This window comes from Homo sapiens, chromosome 1 (genome assembly GCF_000001405.40).
Source record: "Homo sapiens chromosome 1, GRCh38.p14 Primary Assembly".
Taxonomy (NCBI): domain Eukaryota; kingdom Metazoa; phylum Chordata; class Mammalia; order Primates; family Hominidae; genus Homo; species Homo sapiens.
This window is the reverse complement of record NC_000001.11, coordinates 13,764,143-13,784,799: the sequence shown is the minus strand read 5'-3', so window position 1 is coordinate 13,784,799 and position 20,657 is coordinate 13,764,143. Positions and strand designations below refer to the sequence as shown.

Below are 20,657 nucleotides of genomic sequence, written 5' to 3'. Positions count from 1 at the left end.
TACCATCTACGGTTAGGACAATACCAGTGTTTTCTTATCTGATTCTTCTGTGCTTCCTTTTAGGCAAAATTTCACTCCAGCAAGGTAACCCTCTGTTAACTATCAAACAAAGCAAAATAATGAAAATGAACTGGGGCAAAGAAGAGACATGATTTTTAAGGCCCTTTAGTCCTTTGTAGCCTTAAAGGTTACTCAAAAGACACTGGGTAGAGGCTATTTGAATAGGCCTCATAAATTTATGGTCACTCTGACAGCTTTTCTTTGCAGAACTTAATTTTTCCAAATCAACTTTAACCTTGAACTGTGTAAGTAGGGCCAAGTACAAAACAAGCATTTCTTTTAGATAATACTGAAGACAAAAGGGATAGACAGTACATTCTAAAGCATCAACCGCCTGGGAGGTGTTTTATAGTACAATCTGTGAAAATGAAGGCACACTCTGCTTGTTGAAGACACAAGCAACTTGAAAAGGACTCAATTTGATCATGTCCTGTTGGTGTGGCACCACCAGAACACAGACTGAGCACAAACAGGTGCACAATTCAATTACTAAAGGCAAGCAGCTTTGACAGCTGATAACACAGGTGCTTATTTTCAGCAGAGCTAACCTCCAAGATGCTACCTATGTATGTGCCGCGGCCAGAGACCGAGCGTTGGTCAGACCTATGGCAACTAAATATTTAACACATTTATGAAGTAACTTTTTAAAAATCTGATCCATTAATCCTACAGTAAATCATTCAAATCAGCCTTAGCTAATGATTCTTCTCTATCTTTAGCTGTGATTTAAGGCACACCAGCATTAAAAATTCTACCTCATCAATCATGCAGGGCTAATGGCACCTCTGTGTCCTCGTGACCTCTACAAAATGGCAGTCGCGTCCACACTTAGGATCCCTAATTCTGCTTGCTTAAAACACCAAAGAATTTTCAGACACCAAAAGCTATAGCATGAAAGCCTAGAGTCAGGTGGCATCCTGTGAAAAGACAAGACTTAAAAGTATTTTGCAGAAATGCTATCTGATGAGTAATTTTCACATGAGACTGAACTATTCAGAAACAGCAGGAATTCCAATACACATCCACTTCGGACAAAGGACTCAGGAAGTTTGAGAATCCAATGTAACAAATTTAACCGCTGCCCTCTCTTCATCTGTCACTGAGAACAGTTCTTAATATAGGAAGCACAGGGAATAAAGCAGTAAAGTCACTTCAAATCTAAGACAAATCCTTCTATCATTACTGGGGAAACAAAGGCACTGACAAATGAGGCTGACATGCCCTGGGTATCACACAGGCCTGAAAGAGCTGCAAGGGTCCTGCCTGGAGTTCCAAGCATGTCTCTCCTGCTCTGCTTCCCATCCAGATCCTGACTTGTTTACCGTCCTACGGCTGAGTTCAGGAGGTGGGGGACAGTGCATAAGACCTTTTTAAAGGACTATGTTTTGTTTTGACCGATGCAATCAATTATTAAAATTTAAGCATTGGCAATTCTGAAAGAAAGTGTCAGGTACTAGATCTATGCTGAAGTCACAGAAATATTAAACAAGATTGTAACATGGTTTACTAATGAACTTAGTGACCCGTCTTAACCTAAGAAATGTTCTATGATCGGAAAATAAGACACATGACACTGAGCTATTACCCAAGACATAAAGGAAGTTTGAGAGGATTGCATCTTTTCTTAGAGTACTTTTGAGAGCTTTTCTATAGTTTTAAATTCAATTTACATCTGGCCACATTAAAGAAGTGGCACTGCTTTGTGAGTCCTAAGTCTGAAATTAGAACTATTTATTCATCTCTAAAAGCAGCCAAAGCAATGACCCTTCATGCCTTTAACTTATACAACAGCTATTTCCTTTAAGTGGGGAAAAAAAAAAAAAAAAGCAACAAGAAACCAAAAAACACCCGTAGGCAAGGATACTGTCGCCTTCCCGGTCTTTCCCTCCCACCAGCTCCTGAGCTTACCTGAAGTCCTTCAGCTCCTGCTTGGCGCTGCCGTCCTCTCTCTTGTTCTCACTCAAGTCAGCAGCAGCTGCCAGCTGAAGGCTCCGGGTGACTGGCCCCCCACTCCGCTCTCTAGATTTTATATTGAACCGGTCTGTTCTTTTCTTACTCGCCAAGGTGGATTTGCTTTGTAAAACAGCTTTGCTTTTCTGTACCCTCACGTGCAGGCTCCGTGATGTTTTGCTGGAAAGCTGAGCAGAATGATTCTTGGCCACAGCTTTAGGTTTTTTCCCCTCAACATGAGTTATTTTGGCCATTCTTATCGGGCTGGAGTTCCTTAAAGAGGAGGAGCTTGGTTTTTTGGATTTCACCGAAGCTGCAAACTTGACGTTCTGCTTGGACCTGAAGGATGAGGAGGGAAGTGGGACTTGGGTGGGGCCTGAGCTGCGGGCTCTGGTCTTGCCCAACGGAGTCTGCATGCTTTGCATTTTAATCTCCGCATCCGCTGTCCGTCTGCGGTGGTTGCTGTTACTGTTTTTGTCACTACTTGCAGGTGATGAGTGTCCACCTTTCTTAGATGAATGAGAAACTTTTTTTTTGGGAGGAGAAAGGGGTTTTTTGGGACAGCTGAAGGCGGCGTGTTTATTCAGGCTTCCAATGTAAGTGAACTCTCGATTACAGTAAGGGCAGATGTGAGAGGATGACTCACAAGCATTTTTCAAGTCGGCCTTCTGCTTTGCAGATTTGTTTTTCTGAAGAATTGCTTTCTGTACTAGCTGATTTTTTTTCTTCAATGCATTTAATTTGAGCTTATTCGACGACATTTTGCTGAGCTCAACACTAAAGTTAAGCCTTTTGGGCTGTCCCATTCGTCGGAAGGCATTTTTCCCAGAGTTATCTAAAACCACCACGCCATTTTTGGGTTGCACAGTTTGTTTTAATGGTACTGGGTTTTTCTTAGGCGTGTACCTCTTCTTGTCACTTGCAGAAGCACAAGCCAGGATATGTTTGTGCAACTCCGGCATATTGTCGACACCTTTTCCACACTTTGTGCAGCGAATGGCGGTAGTGAAAGTCTGTGGAATATTGTGTGTAGTGAAATTTGTGGCTGTCACACCAATCCCCATGGGGTTACGGTGATGGTACTGAAATGGAGGTGGTTTAAAGCTTGGGTAATGCTGATTGAGGCCCAATCGAACATCTGGATCTTTTGTCTTTATTCCAGAAGCCATTATTTTTATAGTCGTGTAAAGCTCTTCAGAGGAATCATTTAACTCCTCTTCTTCTTTAGAAGTTTCTAAAGGATCTTCTGGCAAGCTCTGCATATGCTCTACATGGGCCTTGCTGGGATCTGTAAAGTTCTGGGGCCTCAGAGTCCCGCTTTCAAACTCGTGATGTGTGCACACCTTATCTGGGTGGAGATCTCGCTGGTGCTGCTGCAAATTGCACAAAAAAGCAAATTCTTTTTTACAAACAGAACACACAAAGATATTCCCAACTCCATGAAGCAAAAAGCGATGTTCTGACAAGTCCGTTTTATCCTTAAAAAGCTGCACACAAAATTCACATTTGAAGGGCCATTCTTCAGCATGAATAGATAAATGTTTGGTTAGATCTTTAATGGAAAGAAAAGGTGATTCACAGACGTTGCAAACAAAGTTTTTGTTGAATGTTTCCTGAACAACAACATCCTGTTCAGCAGCAGACTGGGGCTCTTCCCTGGGTTTCAGACCTTCATTCTCTAATTCCTCCTGTTTGAAAGATATCATGGGGAGAGAAGCCTCCAGATTATCACCAGAGGAAACAACAGATGATATTGCGGAGAGAGGAGGTGGAGAAGGAGAAGAGGAGGAAGATGAAGAAGAAAACGAAGAGGAGGAGGAAGATGAAGAGGAGGAAGAAGAAAGTGTTGGAGGCCCGGGTGAGGCGGCAGACATCAGGGGCTCCACGGGAGGAATGGGAGAGGGAGAGGGGGACACTGTTGGGGACAGAATTGGAAGTGGGGACTGTGCGGTGGCATTTGAGAGTGGAGAGGGGCATGGGTGTGGAGATGCACTGGAAGAGGGGGCTGGAAGAGGTACGGTAGGAAGGAGGGGAGGGGGCGGAGTGGCAACAGTTAATACCGGGGGACAGGGTGGAGGGGAAGAGGGATCTGTGGGGATCAAGAGAGGAGGCAGCTGACCGGATGAAAGGGAGGGTGTCTGCAGGGCAGGTGATGAAGGACAAACATCAGGTGTGGACTCAACAGTAGGGGCAGGGAAACCAGAGCCCGGACCGAGGTCAGGATCTGGCTGAGCTTCTAGGGATTTACAAGGACTTGGGCTCCTGGTCCCATCTGCAGGGTTTTCTACAGGTAAATCGATGCCATTATATTCATTGAGAAGAACCTTCTGCAGCATGCAGGTGGTTGGTTTCCTTTTCTTTACAGCACTACACGTAGGCTGCACTGAATGACTTTCTTTGAATTCCTTGCCTTCAGAGTCACTACAATGCTTTTTATGCACACTGAGATCTAAGACAGATTCCCACTGGACTGGAGTCTTGCCTGTACCCTCAGCCTTCTGTTTGACACCGCTGGATAAATCCAGTGGCTGCTGGTTGCACACACTGCTAAAAGCAGAACTAGCTGTCCACTCTTTAGACATTTTATATTCATCAAAGCATGGAGGGCTCACAGTTTCTCTCTCATCTCTCCCAGACAAACTCCATGCTGGTGAGTCGCTGTGACTTTCTAATTTGGATTTTTTGGAAGTCAGCCCGGCATCGGTCCATGCTGCTTTCCCATCACTTGGCTTTCCAAAGTCTCGAAGGGCAGGACTGTGCTGTGGAGAACTGGGAGGAGAGCTGGTCCGCCTCTTAAACCTACTTGAGGTCACAGGCAACATTGATGCAGGAGCAGACACACAAACAGGACCTAATTTAGCTATTTCAGTTGCTGAAATCCCTGCAGGAGTTAGTTTATCTTGGGTTTGAAGAAGTTGTTTGAGCTTTGATGACAAATAAACACTTTTCTCTTTGTGGAAAGACACTGCCTCTGTTGTTGATATGCTAAGAGGAAGACTTAAAGAGCAAGAGGGGACCATGGGGTCAGAGTCTGTTTCGGCCTTAATTTTGGGCAGTGCAGGTGGGCTCGCAGTTCTCCGCTTCTTGGCCTCACTATTTGTGCTGCCCAAAGGCTCTTTAGGAAGATCTTCTGTTACAGGGACCTGTGTGGTCTTTATATTTTGAGTAATTTCCACTGTAACTGGAGTGAGCAGACAATTTATACCATACAAATCTGCCGAAGCAGACTCCATCTCAATCACATCACAGTTACTAGTGTTGTTATTAGTTTGAATTTTACCATCAATATAGTAATTTAAGTTTTCAGAGATATTGCTAGAAATGTCCATGATGTACACATCATCTGCTTCCCCTTCCTCCTCCGGCTCTGTGCTTGGTACATACACGTTCTGGGTGGCCTGGGCCTGTTCTGCTGGAGGCTGGGGCTCTTCAAGGCCTCCTTTTCGCCGTACACCTTTGGGAATCAGATGACGTTCGTGAACTCTACGCTGATGCCGTCTCATATTAGTATGAGTTCCAAAAACCTTTTTACAATATTTGCACGGATGAAGTTCTTTAACTTCCCCATTCTCTTCTACGACAGAAGAATTTATTGTGTCTTGGGAAGCCTTCTCTGAATTCATGATCAGACAGTCTGGCCCAAGACTGGGAGGACTCGAATCATCTTTTGAAGCAACGTTTTCTCCAGATGCTTTGCCATCAGCCAGATCCTCTGACGGCTGTAGTGTTTGGCTGGGTTTCCGCTTTAACCCTGCTTCATGGCGCCGCTCATGTCGCCGCCGGTTAATCTGTGTGCCAAAGGCTTTCCCACAGTACTTGCATTTGAAAGCATGATTGACGGTGGATATATGGATATGCATGTGACGCTCAAGCCCCTGTTTGGTTGTAAACTTCCTTTCACAATGTTGACACGGAAACATAAACGTTTCAAATACATCACCATTGGCCTCTTCTTTAGTTCTGGGGATTTGCATGGCAGGTGTTACCTCTGAGCAGTCTTCAAGAGTTTCTTCTGAAGTTGTTTTTGGTTCCTCTAATAAATCTTCTGGCTTCTCATCACACCGTATTTCTGGCTCTTTCACAGAATTTTCATTTGGCATGCTGGCTTCTTCTTCCCCCTCGTCTTCCAACTCATCATCATCATCATCTTCTTCTTCTTCTTCATCCTCCTCCTCTTCCTCCTCCTCCTCTTCCCCCAAATCATTCACCTCACAAGCTGCCGCTTCTAATCGCTCGTCTGGTTCTGGCTGTGGCTCCCAGGCAGGGGCAGGGGTTGCTAGTTCTGGAGGCACCTCCTGACTGGCCACCTCCTGGAGGGTGGCCGGCTGCTCAAGTGCTGAGGCTGAAGGCTTCTCTTCGTCTTCTTTAGGACCTAGAAAGCACATGGAAGCAGAAGCATGGAAGTGAAGCATGGGAAACCAGCTACTTGGTGAACAATCTGAATGATTCAAGTTATTTCTCTTACCACCTAAAACATAAGGGAGATGATGATGAACAATAAATTACTTCTACTTTATATACTTAATTGACAAAGTTGTATTGGATATGAATCCACTTCATTCAACAAGTATTTAGGGTACCAGCCACGTACCAGGCAATATTCCCGGCAGTGAGGACACACACGAGCGCAACAGACAAGGATGTCCGTGTGGAGCTGGGGATTTGTGTTTAGTTGCACACAGATACAACTCTGTTGACAGAAACTGTAGTGTTTAAAATCGTGTTGGAGTAGTCACTACTACATTTTAGGAGTAGTTGTAAATTCTAATTTCTCATGATTCCAAACTGGAAACAGTTCTTTACCAGACATATCACCAGGTTAGATCCTTGGAAGTCTGTCTGGAGTAAATGATCCTCTCTCCCTCTTAAATAAAATGTTATTCTCAGAAGCTAGAACATTTTCCAGAATCATGTAATCACAAGTTTTTCAAGCTAGACAATCTTTGGAGATCATCTCTTCTAAGCCTAGCCAAGTTATTAAGAACTCAGGAGCATCTCACTGAAGGGAACAGAAATCTGCAGTCACTTCGGAGTCCCTAGGCCTAGCCCACCTGAGGTGGGTGGTAGAAGGCAGTCAGGGAAGGACTTGCTTAGAAGGTGACAGTGGAGGAGAGACCTAAGGAAAATGAGGCATGCAAATATTGGGGGGGGGGGTGGGAGGAGGAGCCCTACTGGATAGAGGAACCCTCAAAATGCATAAGCGCTGAGTCAAGAACATACTAGATGCATTCAAAGAACAGCAAAGACATCAGTGAGGTGAGGTGGGGAAGCTGGGCAAAGTGAGGGCAGGAGGTAAGACTAGAGATGCAAACAGGGGCCTACTTACACAAGCCCCTGCAGGCTGCTGGCTTTTACTCTTGAGTGAAAACAGGGAGCTACCAGAAAGATCTAACGGAAATATATAATCTGACTTGTATTCAAGAGAATCACTCTGGTTACTACAAGGAAGATAGTGAACCCTAGGTGACAAGGGTGGAGGCAGATGGAAAGATGGGGCCCAATGCATCCTCCAGGAGAGGCAGGATGGTGGCACAGGGGTGGCAGCAGGGCGGGACTACAAGTGCTCTGGATATATTTTGTCAATGAAGTTGACAACATGCCTGCTGACTGGCTGTGGTGAGAGAGAAGAGGAGATTCCACGCAACTGCAATAATCCTGGCTAATAAAACGTTGGAAGACCACAAGAGAAGCAACTGTGGTCTGTGTGCATGTGCGTGTTGTGGGGGAAATCAAGAGCTTACTTCAGACGTGCTAAAGTTTAAGGTACCTGATTATAGACATCCAAGTAAATATATTAAGTAGACAGCTTTATATGAATCTGGAATTCAACAAAGAGGCTGGCCTAGAAATTTCAAAGTCCTAGAGAAGGCCAGAGAAGGTATTTAGAGCACTGGACTGGATGAGGTCACCTGGCAAGTGAACGCAGGCAGAAGAGGGATGAGAGGATTGTGTCCCAGATGACTCCACGACTGAGGCTGGGGGAAAGGCCAGTGAGGTATCCAGAGAACCAAGAGAGTGGTGGTCCTTTGGCAAAGTAAAGAAACTGCTTCAAGGAGGGCATGATCAGCTGTGTCCAGAACTCCTGATGGGTTGGATAAAATGAGGACTGAGAATGGAACATTCCATCTGCCAAGGCAGAGGTCTTGTGATTGTGACAGCAAGTGGAGTAGTGGGGACAAATGTCTAACAGAGTTCCTAAGAGAATGGAAGGAGATGGAGAGACAGGGAGACTATTAGCAACTCTTTCAAGTTTACCTGTAAAGAAAAAGAAATGGAGAAGAGACTGGAAGAAAACACAGGGACAAGAGGGGATTCTTAAAGACGGAAGCTGTAATCGCGGTTTCGTGCTAGTAGGAATGGTCCCCAATGCTGCTGTCGCGACAGTCCCACTTGCTGCACTGCAGAAGCGGACCCCTCTACTGCAGGCACTAGGAGAGTTAAGAAAGGTTCCACGGAGGAGGCAGAGCTATTCTGACTTCTTCTCCAGGCTACATTACCTGGCTGTTCCCCCAATCACTTGCAAATACTGACTTAGCACCCACTATCTGCCAGTACTAGGTAAACAAGACTGTCACGATCCTTACCCATAGAGAGCTTCACTTTAATACAAGCCACACACAAGCAGGAAGGCAACGAAACTGTAGAACATTGATGGCTGTGTTTATGGAAGTGAGTGTGGTACGGAAGCATCTCATATGGGTTTGATTAATCAGGAAAGGCTTCTTAGAGAAAGGACTAAGCAGACAGAACCTGAAGAATACAAGAATTAAGGACAGAAGAGGAAAAGCAAGCAGAAAAGAGTCAAAACATAGAGAACACTGTAAATTAATGTGGACTTATCTGGGGACAGTGGGGAGCCACTGAAGGTATCTGAAAGCAGGAGACTGCCATCTGGGAGATTCGGCTGCAGGGTGGGTGAAGGGATGGGGGAAGGTCATCACTGGAGGCCGAGGAGCAAGACTGGCAGAGCAGAATGAGAATGGAGATGCTGGCTGCTGTGCTAAGAAGGAAAGGGGAAGAGGCAGTGGAGGCAGAAAAGAGCAGCCAGACCCTCACGATCTGAGAGGCCTGCTACTGGACATGGGGACTGCGTGGATACAGTGGGGAAGAGGTCAATGCCAAGTATTACTCATACAAGCTCACTTATTCAGTCCTAGCCTCCTTGCTGTTTCCCAGGAATATCGGGAATTACTGTTTCCCATCTGCTACTCCATTTACTAGCAATGAGGTTTCTGTTTCCAAACAGAAACAGCCTTCTCTCCCCCTAGACTAATTTCATAAATTCCATGAGCTTTCCACAAAGTGGGAAACCAGTCATTCGACAGTAGTAACATATTTCAAATTAGGAGCTACCTCTCTTTTCAAAGATATTTTCAATAGAGACCCCGAATACTGCCAAAAGAGTTGAAATGAGACAACAGAAAACGCCAACTCTAAGGCTCAGAAATTTCCTAACAGACTTTATTTTCAGTCAAAATCTGTGGCTTCTTTTGATGGGGAAAAAATGTCTTTCCCCATGACTGGTAAACAATCCCAGATATAAAACTGTCCAAAGTAACATAAACCGAAGTCTGCACAGCTCCATTAACAAGCACGGCCCATGCCAGAGTGGATCCACGCACTTTATGTGGTCTCTGGAGTTTTGAACATAAAGGGAGGTTTGGGAGCACAAAGAAGAGTCTGAACTGTTTGCTCATGGTATAGACCATTTGCTGAGGACAACGCAGAACATTCAGCGGAAGCCTACGACACCACTTTGACCAGCTGTGCCAAATACTGGGGGGTGAAGAGCAAGTGTCATTTTTCTTTTTTTTTTTTTTTTGAGACGGAGTCTCGCTCTGTCGCCCAGGCTGGAGTGCAGTGGCACGATCTCGGCTCACTGCAAGCTCCGCCTCCTGGGTTCACACCATTTTCCTGCCTCAGCCTCCCGGACTACAGGCGCCCACCACCACGCCTGGCTAATTTTTTTGTATTTTTAGTAGAGACGGGGTTTCACCATGTTAGCCAGGATAGTCTCGATCTCCTGACCTTGTGATCCACCCGCCTCGGCCTCCCAAAGTGCTGGGATTACAGGCGTGAGCCACCGCGCCAGGCCAGCAAGTGTCATTTTTCATGGGACCTGATGTTGTGTCAGGAGAAAAATAATTGTCTCGAATTACTGAAGGGGAGTAGGTGACTGCTGAATCTGTTTTCTAATTCTACCGCCAAAGGTAGTGAGGTTCCTTAGTAATTTTTGTTGTTCAAAAAAAACTCTCGGCACACCTGCAATGAGGAGGCAGAACTTAGTCTTAAGACTCTGGGAAATGAACTTGACTATTCTTGTTTCACAGAAAATTATATCTTTTATGAATGTTATCATCACAAACAGTGCTTAAAAATGGTTATGAAAGGCATCCAAAATATTCTGGTTATTTTCCTCTACAAATATTTCTTAAAAGAGTCACAAACCTGTCTTCTGAAATTTGCCTACTTGGCTCACTATAAACAACTCAAGTAAGCTGCAATCTGCAAAAATTTGCCCATGGCAAATTAAGACACACCTCCTTCCCTTCTGTATCAATAGTCTCAATATGGTGGCCCAACTGCAATGAGCAGAGGGCAAGCTGTCTTTCTGATTAACTTTCAATCCATGCCTCTTGGTTGGATTCTTACGTCGTGGCAGGCCTAGAATATTATCACCAGAGGGACTATAAAGGAGAAAATTTTAAGGGGACAAACACGAAGAGACAAAATAAGAATTTAAATTCCAACAAAAAACAGAAACACACTTCATTCTGTATACTTTTTGTTCTGTTATACAAAAATCAAAGTCTCTGACATTGTAAGTAAATGCTTAATTTGAAGTATAAAACGTACATGTATTAAAGTGTACAAATAGTTGAGTATATAGCAAGATAAAATTTTCACTAAATATATATACCCATGTGACCATTCCACAGATGAATAATAGAAAACAGCGAGCACCCCAGGTGCCTCCTCATGTCCTTGCTATCACTATTTTTTGATGGTTTTGAACTTCATGCTATTTTTAAATGCAATCATATGTTTCATTTTATTATCATTATTTTTATTTTTTTAGAGACAGTCTCGCCCTGTCACCCAGGCTGGAGTACAGTGGGGGGATCACAGCTCAATGTAGCCTCTAACTCCTGGGCACCAGTGATCCTCCCACCTCAGCCTGTCAAGTAGCTAGAACTACAGGCACATGCCATCATCTTAGTGAATTTTCTTATTTTCTTTTGTAGAAACAGGGTCTCACTATGTTGCCCGGGCTGGCCTCAAACTCCTGGCCTCCAGAGATCCTTCTGGCTCAGCCTCCCAAAGTGCTGGGATTACAGGTGTGAGCCACCACACCTGGTCTCATTTTATTTTAACAAAGGAACAAGTTCATTTTTAAGAAGAAAAGTCTTTCACAATTGTTTGAAGGGAAGGTAGCATATAGAAGGCTCAGCTTACCACATTAAATTTAGGCAGCTTTTTTGCTGTTTAACCTCGTAAAGATCCTAAATGATTCTCAGAAGGACAATATAAAGAGATACAAAGTTAAATTCACTGGGTACATACACACCCAATTCAGACCAAGCCAATATCACAAGCTTACCTTCTGCAGAATCTCTCATATTTGCAGAGGTGAAATCTGGCTCACTTGTCTTCAGTTGTATGTCTTGGATTTTGTTTCCTTTGTTTTTATTTTCCTGGGATTTTTTCTTCCCTGAAACACAATTTTTTTTAATTTATTCATTCATTTTTTTTTTATTTATTCATTCATTCATTCCCTCATGTGTTATTCTGAATTACTGAAGATAATTATTAATCCAATCAAGAACACTGTATATTCCTGGGCAATTACCACTTTGGATTCCTAAAGAAAGGAATGAATGATGACTGTAAATACTCTGTTATATAGGTAAATTATGACAGAGGGGAAAAGAAAGAAACACATCAATCTTGCATTTTTGAGAATCTTGGGCATTAGTTCCCTTCATAGCTATAATGACTATCAAATTATGAGGTAACGTTACTATTGATGTCAAAGGAAAATTAGTAATAGCATTGAATTTCAATGCCACACAGCTAATAGGGATTGGCTATTTGTAAGAAGCATATTAGAGAAAAACAGTATGTTATAACTTGGGGCCCTTTTAGCTAAGACATGATTATCCATAATTGTTGGAAGCAAAACAAGAGAAGCAGAGATTCTGCGGAATTTCAAAAGATACACATTCACAATGGCTCAAATACCAAATGCAGAGTAATTATGAATAATTCACTGTCCACCAGCATGGCACTCTGAGAGCCCTAAGGGATCTGACTGTAGGTCCAGTCCAGGTCAATATTTCATTAACAATTCAGAGGATGGAATTCAGAAACACTGACTGCATTCCAAGTGATACCATACGTTTACAAGGTAAGATTAAATTGCAACATCGTTCTCATAAGTTGGAACAACGGAACTAAAGTCATGAAGATAAGAAACAATTATCTATAGGAGTAATAATACTGAAGAAGTCAGAAGCCCAGTTTCTTTAGGATTTAACCAGAATTTGCAACCTTTCTTTTACATTTTTTAATTACCAGATTTCTATTTTTCTGGAAGCTGGTGTTTCAGTCTTCAGATCCAGACAGATCCCCATTCTTCCGTAACAATCCTCCTTTTTCTCCGCTGCTCTCCCCCAGACAAACCTCCACCAGCTTCCAGAACTACAAGCCTCTGACACCTTTTATCTCTGCATTAGTAAAATCAAACTAAAAACGACTTAAAGCTGCTATATACACGTAAAGTTACATACTCCATAACAGAGAATCACTACCGGGAAGCATAATTAGCTAAAAATGTAAACAGACAAAAATGAGGTCAGAGACATAAAATAGCATCATTGAAAACATCTAGATTAAAAGTAGAAACATCAAATACAATACAAAGCAAAAACAAATCCTAAAAAACACCACCAGATTTTGACAAAAATTTGAGACATAACCTTAACAGTCATTTTGCTTGTTAGTCTTAAAACGTAAATTCTAAAATACCATTTTAAACACCTTTTTTTTTCTTTGTTTTTGAGATGGAGTCTCACTCTGTCGCCCAGGCTGGAGTGCAGTGGCACAATCTTGGCTCACTGCAAGCTCCGCCTCCCGGGTTCATGCCATTCTCCTGCCTCAGCCTCCCGAGTAGCTGGGACTACAGGCGCCCGCCAACACGCCCGGCTAATTTTTCGTATTTTAGTAGAGACGGGGTTTCACCATCTTAGCCAGGATGGTCTCGATCTCCTGACCTCATGATCCGCCTGCCTCGGCCTCCCAGAGTGCTGGGATTACAGGCATGAGCCACCGTGCCCGGCCTACATACCTAATTCTTCAGCCCATAGGAAATCCGATGTTTTTGCCACTACGTTTATCAGGGTTTGAGCAAATAAATTCCTGATAGCCTGTCTATCCATTCATTTCCAAAGGCACTTAAAATGGAACTCAAAAAACGAGCACACACTTCACCGGGACCACACTCTGGTGATAACAAGAGTGAAGGATCTGCATGGAGATGACCAACACACGTCTCCAGGTGAAGAATTATAAGCCAATCCCCTCCATAAGGGGCACAAACATCTAAGCACCTTTCCACAGGCATAACGTCCTCTTGTGACTCTTTCTCCCTTTGTCAACTTAACAGCATTTTGTCTAAATCAGATAATGACAAAGGTTCTTCAGGGATCCAGTTTTGTTTAAGGGAATTTGGATTCTACCTCCTTTCCATCAGTTTTCTTATGCTTATGACATAAGCTAGTTCTGCCTGTGTGTGATGCTCAGCCCGTATTAGATTACTGAGAGCAAACAAAATGCTTATCGCCCACCCACATCCATAATGCAAATATAATGACTACTGACATAACATAACTTCTCTGTGCTGCAACTGATGTGTGAGGAAATTCACGGCTTCTTTTATTACCATGTGAAGAGAGAGTTCCTGGTGTAGCCCACAGATTCAAAAATCATATTCAGAAACTTTTTCTCTGAACCCAAACAATGACATTTTTATAAGACATACCCCTCAGGTAACCCCAAACAGGCCAAGGAATGTGGCCTTTTTTTACTGATCATTTACTTAGTACTTACTTAGTATGAGCTTTTAAAATAAATTAAAATGGAGAGGTGTAATCTAAACCTTCACTCCTTGCATAAACCTCACACACATTTAAAGAAGGGCCACAGTGTAAAATTTAATAGAAAAACCGATGTCAATTTCTTGTAATACAGTCACTTGCAAAAAAAAATGCAAAGATTTTTCTACAACCTCCCAAGTGTTGTACAAACCCAGTCTGTAGGTCATATAAAAAGCCAAGTACACTGTTCTACATGTAAATAGAGTATTAAATAAGTAAAATGTCTAGATTTATATCTTAACAAAAGGAAGTACAATCTTAATACCATTAAGATGCACTCAAAATGAAATCACATAACTGTCTAAAACATAAGTGCTATTTTAAGTTTTATTCCCTACCTAAAAGAATGTTAGAGCACCTAGCTGATACTAAATGTCAAATGTCCTTTATTGGACAAACAAAACCTAATCAGCGAGAACTCCCTTTTCTCTCTCCAGGTGTCCTCTTTAAAAGCCATGACCCTGGAAACCCAATCCACTGTGAGGAGAAGCCATTTGCAGTAGGTACATCTCCAGTATCTTATCAGAGGACTAAGGAGGGGATCCCGCCACAGACCACTACAGGGTACCAAGGCGCCTCAACCGCAGCATGAACGACATCTGGGCCAGATCATCCTTGGCTGTGGGGTGGGCTGTCTGATGCACTGGAAGATGTTTAACTGCACCTGTAGCCACTATTTACTAGATGCTAGTGGCACCCCCCCTTCTAATTGTGACAATCCAAAGTCTCTAGACATGGCCAGATGTCCCCTGGGGAGAAGATTTCCCCAGGTTAAGAACCACTGGACTAGATCAATGCATTTCTGGATCACACTCGACGGTCTATACATGTATTAAAAACTACAAAAAGTACTTGAATAACACTAATAAGCCAATTCTAAAAATGGAGAGATGAAGAACTAAATTTACCACCAAACTAAATTTGGTGAATACCAACACACTTAGTTTATCAAGGAAATGAGTCTATCACAAGTCTATATCATTCATCCATGGAATTGAGATTATCTGACACCTGGAACAATGTTCTCAATCTTCATGAGAACCATCAGTTAAGTTACGTCTCATCGTGAGGGCCTTGGACTAGAGATGAAGGGGCTATTGAAATCACCTGTCCTGCCTTCAATTTTGTGGGAGAAAGTGAAGGCCAGCGCCAGAGGGGAAGTAATTAGCCTATGGCAGAACAGAAAGCAGAACCAGGGGTCCTGCCCACACATACACAGGCTTGGTGTCCCTCACAACCGCCAAATATTGCAGCAACAGGCGGTGGAACCTGCTACATTTCCTTAAACCAGTACTGATTTCTTCTGACACCTGATTTCTGTCCTATATGTCATCAAATTAAAAGAAAAAACCAAACCCATAAGGACATTTACAGAGGGGAGATGGCATTTGTGAGCTTCTCTCTGTGAGGCAGAGGAGCAGGAGCCGCTGGGAGGCCTGGCAAGCACACAAGTGCACTTACCATCGGGTCCTGGGGGTCCTACAGGGCGCTACTGCCAGCTGGCTGCTCCGCTTGGTCTAGACAAGAAAGAGGAATGAAACACAAGGGAAGTGAAATGGAAATGATGACAAGGAACAGCAGAGGGACAGGACAACACTATGTGCATGAGGAAAAGAAATGAATACATCAAGATGAGAAATTGAATACAACAGAAGGAAAACAGCAGTTATCTACTGCATCAAGGTGCTCACATGCCAAAAATAATGTTTAACTGTGTACTTAGTTGCTGAGAATAAGACCAATGTAGTATATTCATTCTTGGGCCTGTACTGTGCGCCCTTATTGTAAAACTGATGCCCCTGCCACTTAATGGATCAATTTTGCTAGAAGCCCCCAAAGTCCCAACGCATAAATCACTTTACAAGGTAGACACCCAAAGGGCAGAGATGTGAAATAACTTGCCCAATGACACACGACTACAGTAGCTGTAAAGCCAGAATGAAAACTCAAGGGCCAGGAGCAGTGGGTCACACCTGTAATCCCAGCACTTTGGGAGGCCGAGGCAGGTGGATCACCTGAGGTTAGGAGTTCGAGACCAGCCTGGCCAACATGGTGGGTGAAACCCCATCTCTACTAAAAATACAAAAATTAGCCAGCCATGGTGGAGGGCACCTGTAATCCCAGCTACTTGGGAGGCTGAGGCAGGAGAATCACTTGAACCCGGGAGGTGGAGACTGCAGTGAGCCGAGATCGTGCCACTGCATTCCAGCCTGAATGACAAGGGCAAAACTCCATCTTAAAAAAAAAAAGAAGGCCGGGCGCGGTGGCTCACGCCTGTAATCCCAGCACTTTGGGAGGCTAAGGTGGGCAGATCACGAGGTCAGGAGATCGAGACCATCCTGGCTAGTGCGGTGAAACCCCGTCTCTGCTAAAAACATAAAAGCATTAGCCGGGCGTGGTGGTGGGCGCCTGTAGTATAGTCCCAGCTACTTGGGAGGCTGAGGCAGGAGAATGGCGTGAACCCGGGAGGTGGAGCTTGCAGTGAGCCGAGATCACGCCACCGGACTCCAGCCTGGGCAACAGAGCGAGACTCCGTCTCAAAAAAAAAAAAAAAAAAAAACTCAAGGACAAAATGTTAAAAATGTTCTTTCTCTTAATAGTTACTTCTTAATATCAATAATGACTTAATATGCATACTTTTTCTTTTGAGACAGGGTCTTACTCTGTCTCTCACTCTGTCATTCAGGCTAGAGTGCGATGGCATGATCTCGATTCACTGCAGCCTCGACCTCCTGGGCTCAGGTGATCCCTCCTGCCTCAGCCTCCTATGTAGCTGAAACTACAGGCATGTGATACCATGCCTGACTAAATTTTGTTTCTTTTTTGTAGAGACAAGATCTTGCTGTTGTCCAGGCTGGTCTCGAACTCCTGGGCTCAGCAATCCTCTTGCCTTGGCCTCTCAAAAGTGCTGGGATTACAGATGTAGTCACGGCATCCAGCAGCATACCTTACTTTACAAAGCACTCTACAGATCCATTATTTCACTGGTTTCAAGTGCAAGTGAAAAAAGTTGCATAAAGACTTGCATCGGCCAGGCACAGTGGCTCATGCCTGTAATTCTAGCACTTTGGGAGGCCAAGGTAGGCAGATTGCTTAAGCTTAGGGGCTCAAGACCAGCCTTGGCAACATAGTGAGACCCCCGTATCTACCAAAAAAAAAAAAAAAAATAGAAAAAATTAGCTGTGCGTGGTGGTGTATGCCTGTGGTGCCAGCTACTTGGGAGGCTGAGGTGGGAGGATCACTCGACCTCAGAAGGTCATGGCTGCAGTGAGCCATGATCGTGCCACTGCACTCCAGCCTGGGCGACAGACTGTCTCAAAAACAAAACAAAGACTTAAACTGCATTTATAGTTTAAAAAAAAAAAAGCAACAATCAAATTGGAATGCTTTTTTTTATTTCTATTTTATCCTGTGCCAGAAACAAGTCAACAGCACAGAACCCTGATCTGAACAAGTATGATTCACCACTGAGTAATATCAATAAAACTGGATTTTGTAGTGAAATAGTTACCATACAAAGACATTCAACAGCCATAATGACTATTTTCTAAGACTATGTATAGCATTATACCACTGATGCCTGGGATATGAGTTACAAAATTAAAATTGCCTAAAGCGTCACATGAAAAATTTAACCTAGGTCTGGACTATGTTCTACTAGCCTAATAAATTGGACAGACACAGTAGGAAATTCTAGAGAATAATGTTTCACCTTAAAATGTTCAGGCAGTAGAGAGAATGCAAAATTCTGGGAGCCTTGCTCAAGTTACATTAAAAATTCATCACAACAGTGAAGGCTCATGCATTTGGTGATTTAAATGAATTAAATTTAAAACTATATGTAACTCTAGATGTGCTGCCTCCTCACTGGGGAGCTATCCAACTCTGAAGGATAAAATCAGAATTAAATATCTGTGCACAGAAGTTAGGTCCATCCGATCTTCACTTGGGGAGCTTCACAGTTGGTTCCAAAGCAGACAAGACTCCAACTGGGAGATTTCCACAGCTGTACCATGAATGGTCATCGAGGACACGGGCTTCCCAACAGGGCTGATACCAACTCACCAAGGTGGGTTGTGCCTGCTGCCTCCAGTTCCTCTGCCCTCCATCAGTCCTTCATCCTTGCAACTGAATTTCCACCCTCTCTACTCTACAGGCATCCAATTCCCATGGCTATCACTAATACCATAATTACAAAACCCAACAGTTCTTCAGGCTTTATTTGCCCCAAGTTTCTCCTTCACATTTGACAACTTGGTATTTCTTTCATTCTTAGAATTCCTCGTCCCAGCCTTAAGACACTACTATCTAGAATCTCACCCTTTTGCAGAGTCTTCCTCTTCTTCCTGCCCCTACATAAGAGGGCCCTTCCTAGGAAACTGAAGACTGGAACCATGCTTTCACACTAGGTTGAAGAAAGGCTTTGACAAAAGCATATGACTAAGCTGAGGGCACAGACCCTAGGGAACAGGGTAGATGTTGAACTCACTATGCTCAAGGCTGAGAGAAGAACCAGAACACTCTGGAGCAAAAAGAGCCTTGAAGGTCATCTCCGTCACCTGCACTTCAGGTAAGAATGAGCAATGCATTATAATATACAGCCTTTCAAATTTTTCAAAGTCAAAGGTGTCTTTCGTGACAGCAGGCCAGCTGTGGCACTAGTATCACTCAGGATACATCTGGTTTGGAGTAAAGTTAGAGTTCTCAAAGCAAGATGAAAAGGCTTAACTGGGAGGAGAAAAGTATAAAGTACATGTTAAATGACTCCTATAAAATTTTTAAAAATTACAATCTGTAATAGATTGTGTTGGTAAGGAAGAGGAATCGATGGATAATGGCAAAGTTGTTATCTTAAGAATGGCCAAGTGCAGGCCAGGTGCGGTGGCTCACGCCTGTAATCCCAACACTTTGGGAGGCCGAGGCAGGCAGAACACGAGGTCAGGAGCTCGAGACCAGACTGACCAACACGGTGAAATCCCATCTCTACTAAAAATACAAAAATTAGCCAGGCGCGGTACCACCGCGCCTGTAATTCCAGCTACTCAGGAGGCTGAGACAGGATAATCGCTTGAACCCAGGAGGCGGAGGCTGCAGTGAGCCTAGATCCCGCCACTGCACTCCAGCCTGGGTGACAGAGCGAGACTCCATCTCAAAAAAAAAAACAAAAGAATAGCCAAGTGATGCTATGTGTGAGATGGTGAAGGTCGACTGGAATTAGACCTCAGCTCTGCTGCATATGTGCCTAGTAGTTTAACGTTCTACAGTTGGGTTGATGATAGAGAGGAAGAGAGAAGCTGGAAATGGATACCTAAAATTAAGTTTTCCATAAGGAATTAACAGTTCATTTCAATATTCTTAATGTATGCTTTAATGTAAGAGAATGACTTGGTACTCTGGAAGTCATCAAATGTCATTAACAAAAGAACTGGGAGACTTGGGCAGAAGGACTGATGGGGGCACCAGTGTGCCTCAACCAGAAATGCTTTCAGAAAGGTTTGCAGCGGGGTGGGTGTGGTTATCAGAGGATCACAAGTGGCTGTTACAACTGGTCAAGGCGCGATCAGTGGCAAAGCAAGCCCCATAGATCTGAAGTAGTAAGACACTGCAACAGTTAGTTTTTATAAAAGTTAACATGCCATGCATTTTCTATAGTTTCCTTTTTCACTTAAAATAACTTTGAAACTTATCTGACAGTAAAAAATTCTGTTAAGCTCGTTTGGCATAATTTCAAATCTTTTTCTGCAGTTAAAGTCACCAAGAACTATCTGTAATCCTGGAGGCAAATTATAAAAATAAAACCTCTCTGGTTTTAGGTAGCTCATGGTATTAAAACACAACTCTAGGTTTTGCTTCCAACAGAAACAATGGAAAAGTTTTAGATTTTGCAGTTCTGCAGATTGCAGTATAAATTCCTGAAATGCTTGCTTCCCACCAGGGGGGCTGTTGCACAGCCTCTGCAGCTGTGGAGGCTGCAGGCTACCCTAACTCTTCCAAATGTCAGGCTGATAGGAGAATAGCAAAGATCCATCGGAAGGGAGTCCGAGCTTTTATGCTGTCAGAAAAAGGCTTTCAGTGGTTTTGACTGGATAATTCCACATCTTAAGAAAGGGCTTCCCAAACAAACTTCACCAAATTCAAGATAAGAAAGCATTAAGTTTCCTTACCTTCTTTGGAGCCTCAAAAAGTGTTGTGGCATGAACAAAATGATTTGGGAGAATAATTAAATATAAACAAGATGCTGACCTGTTCTACTTCATAATCAATTTCTAGGTTTCTTTCTCACGTTTTTTTAGTAGCCTGAAAAATGTACCTAAAATCTGAAAACCTTACATATAAATAGTGACGAGGCAACTACAAAATAAAGAACCTAATTCAACTTATGGACTCAGCCCCCCGTGGCTGAAAAAACCAAAGTGGGAGGTGTTGTAGAGGAGGTGCATTTCCAGTACCTGGCAACCCTGAAAACAGAAGAGACAGCCACGCCCTCGAGAA

The 20,657-nt window shown here is 43.4% G+C and overlaps 1 protein-coding gene across 14 annotated transcripts in view, besides 2 other annotated features; it reads right to left on the bottom strand.

The window, feature by feature from the left end:
• PRDM2 (PR/SET domain 2) overlaps window positions 1-20,657 on the bottom strand; it is a 124,892-nt gene that overhangs the window by 40,280 nt on the left and 63,955 nt on the right. For 11 of the 14 annotated variants that reach the window (NM_001393986.1, XM_047429994.1, XM_047429995.1 and 8 more), the window contains 2 exons: window positions 11,612-11,722; window positions 1,969-6,382 (listed from right to left, as the gene is read on the bottom strand). The exons of 1 other annotated variant lie outside the window; for it this stretch is intronic. In NM_001393986.1, coding sequence (NP_001380915.1) covers window positions 1,969-6,382; window positions 11,612-11,722 — 4,525 coding nt within the window. Of the gene's footprint in view, window positions 1-1,968; window positions 6,383-11,611; window positions 11,723-12,585; window positions 15,599-15,626; window positions 15,683-20,657 lie in introns of those variants that run through there. 2 more of the 14 variants (NM_001393988.1, XM_017002260.3) reach the window with 2 other exon arrangements.
• Window positions 2,489-2,648: an enhancer, noted in NCBI's record as "active region_221". NCBI's record gives its function as "activates an Ori minimal core promoter by ATAC-STARR-seq in GM12878 lymphoblastoid cells {active_cell/tissue: GM12878}" and the evidence as "EXISTENCE:reporter gene assay evidence [ECO:0000049][PMID:35858748]".
• Window positions 3,739-3,907: a silencer, noted in NCBI's record as "fragment chr1:14107388-14107556 (GRCh37/hg19 assembly coordinates)". NCBI's record gives its function as "represses an EF-1alpha promoter that drives an FKBP-Casp9 reporter gene in an ReSE screen in K562 erythroleukemia cells {active_cell/tissue: K562}" and the evidence as "EXISTENCE:reporter gene assay evidence [ECO:0000049][PMID:32094911]".